Genomic DNA, 2,463 nt, shown 5'->3' with positions numbered 1-2,463 from the left:
CTGCCAAGGGGCATGGTGGGTACAGGGGCAGACTCAAATTCCAGCTCTTCCACTGAGAAGCTGTGTGATCTTTGATATGTTCCTTTGCCTCTCTGTGCCTCATCTGCTTCAGAGGCAAAATGAGGACAGTATTAATGCCTCCTCATGGGGATGTCAAGGGCATTCAGCAAGCTGGTCCCAGCCAAACACTGGGCTTGGTCCTGCTCCCCAAGGGCAGGTGTTGCCAGGCATTTTCCAGACCCACTGTCCGGAAAAGTAACTGAAGTCTCCAGGAGTCCGATGACTTGCCACAGGTCACCCATCTGCTGGAGTGACACAGCTGGCTCTGAGGCATGTCCCCCGGCTGTAAGGTCTCTAAGGATAGGGACCTAGACAGGTCTGCCTTCTGGATTGTTGAACTCCCATGCCCTGCCCAGGGGATAAGGAGGGAAGAGAAGGAGAAGGAAATTGAGATGGGTCCTGGAGGATTTCACCGGAAAGAAAAGATGCTGAGGACACCCCAGGCAGAGGGAACAGCATGGGCAAAAGCAAGGAGGTGTGCGAAAGGTCACTGGGTGCAGAAAACTGGAGCCATCCGGGACTCCTGGAATGAGAGGTGGGCAACAGAATAGGAGAGGCAAATCTGAGCTAGTGGTGTGCAGGTAAATGCTTAACAACTAGCTCTCTTTAACACTGAAACGGGGAGGGGAGAGAGGCCCTGATGTGCAGCATTTGCCAATTCACGTGGTGTGAATACTCCCACCATGACTGATTTTTAAGCAACCAACATGACATCAACCAGCTCACAAAATTCTGAAAGGTTAACAATCAGCTTTTGTGATCAAATGTGAGCAGGGGAGCCCGGGCAGGTGGGGGCCCTCCTTCAGGGACTGCCCAGCTGGACCTCGCCTCTGCTCACATGCGAAATCTGTTTCCTGCCAGCGATGGCTCTGTGGGCCTCAATTCCCCACCTGAGCAATGAGCTAATGGTTCCTAGGCAGAGGCAGAGGCAGGACCAATGAGGTGGACCCAAGTCCAAGTACAGTGACATCTTTATCTTCATTTCCCGGCCTCATCTCCACCTGGGGCAAAAATGAAGTGGGGTGATGGGCAGGCAGAGGGAATCCAGGACCCACCCAGGCCCAACTCCCAGCCCACTGTCTCCCACCCCAGCTGGGGAAGCTACAGGGCCCAGCCAAGCAGGTGGTGGCAGGGTCACCTTGGGAAGAGGTATTGGGGCCTGGGAAGAAGGGGGAAGATATTATGCACCGAAGGCTGCAGCTGAGGACACTAATCTGAACAGACAAGGAATCAATGGGAATTTCTATTTAGGGAGGAAATCAATAGGAATTTCAAGGTAGGAAAAAAGGGAATTACCTTTAATTGGAGTTCTGGTCCAGCCAGTTCTCTAGTGAGGCCAGGGCTCACCTGGTCCTCAAGGGATGGCCAGAAGGGACCCTCAACCTGCCCCAGCCCTGCCTGGAGTGCCTCCCACCAGGTAAGAGACACCTTCTCTCAAGGAACCATTTAATCTCTGGCTAGGAAGCCAGGATTGAGTCGGCGAACAGAGATCTCCAGAACCAGGCATAGAGAGCTCCGTCTCCTCATCCGTTAGGTGGGGACAACAGGGACCTCATCAGTGAGAAGCGAATCCCAGGTGCGTAAGAGGCACCTTACGCGTATGGCACCTTAATGGTGCCAGGCACTGTCCCAAGTACTTTGCTTGTGTTAATAAGGGTTAGAAAATCTAATCCATACTAAGCCCCACTATTACTATTACTATCTCCATTTTATAGAGGAGGAAACTGAGGCACCGAGGCGTTAAACAACTCGTGCGAGGTCACACAGCTAGGAAACACAAGCCCTGGCACCAGAGCCTGGGCTCGAACCCTGTGCTCTGCTGCCCTATGGTAGGTGTTCAGCCCTGCGAGATGTGTCCCAGGTGGTCCACGTCCCGTCCAAGGGAAATCAGATGGGTGGGGGTGACTGCCTGGAGTACGGGGGCCCTGCCCAGGAAATGGCAGGATAAGTTCAAGCCACATGGAGAGGGGCCTGAGACAGCTGCCCCCATTGTCGTGCCCTCAAGTGCACACAGACATCCCCCTGGATCCTGCCCCCCAGGAAAAGGACACCCTCAGAAGGAGGCTCAGGACCACCCAGATGCCTACATAGACCCCACTGGAGGCCAAATGTGGCTGCTGAACAGTGCCTGGCAAACAAGCTCCGGTGTAAAATGGGAGCGGGAGACACCCCTGCCTCAAGAACGGCAGGTGCCACCCCCACTGGGAGCCGTCTGGGGGCCAGAGCCTGGGCCAGGATCACAGGAGGGGAACTCCCCTGGGCTGGGAGCTGGGGGCTTTTCTGTGGTGTCTCCCCAGATCCTCCTACAAACCCTGTGCAGATGAAGGACCGTGCCCCAGAGTCAGAGCTGGGAGGAGCAGAAAGAGCAGAAGGCCAGCCCCCATTCACGTTCCCCCAAAGTGG

General features: G+C 55.1%; 1 long non-coding RNA gene across 1 annotated transcript; it reads left to right on the top strand.

Moving 5' to 3' along the window:
• The first annotated feature begins 884 nt into the window (after positions 1 to 884).
• LOC105376273 (uncharacterized) lies at positions 885 to 1,883 on the top strand. Its single transcript, XR_930355.1, has 3 exons — positions 885 to 1,336; positions 1,522 to 1,636; positions 1,776 to 1,883. It is a non-coding gene; the product is annotated as an uncharacterized LOC105376273 (long non-coding RNA).
• The last annotated feature ends 580 nt before the right edge of the window (positions 1,884 to 2,463 follow it).

This window comes from Homo sapiens, chromosome 9, assembly GCF_000001405.40.
Source record: "Homo sapiens chromosome 9, GRCh38.p14 Primary Assembly".
Taxonomy (NCBI): domain Eukaryota; kingdom Metazoa; phylum Chordata; class Mammalia; order Primates; family Hominidae; genus Homo; species Homo sapiens.
Note: the sequence above shows the minus strand (reverse complement) of the source record. Positions and strands in the feature narration are given on the sequence as shown.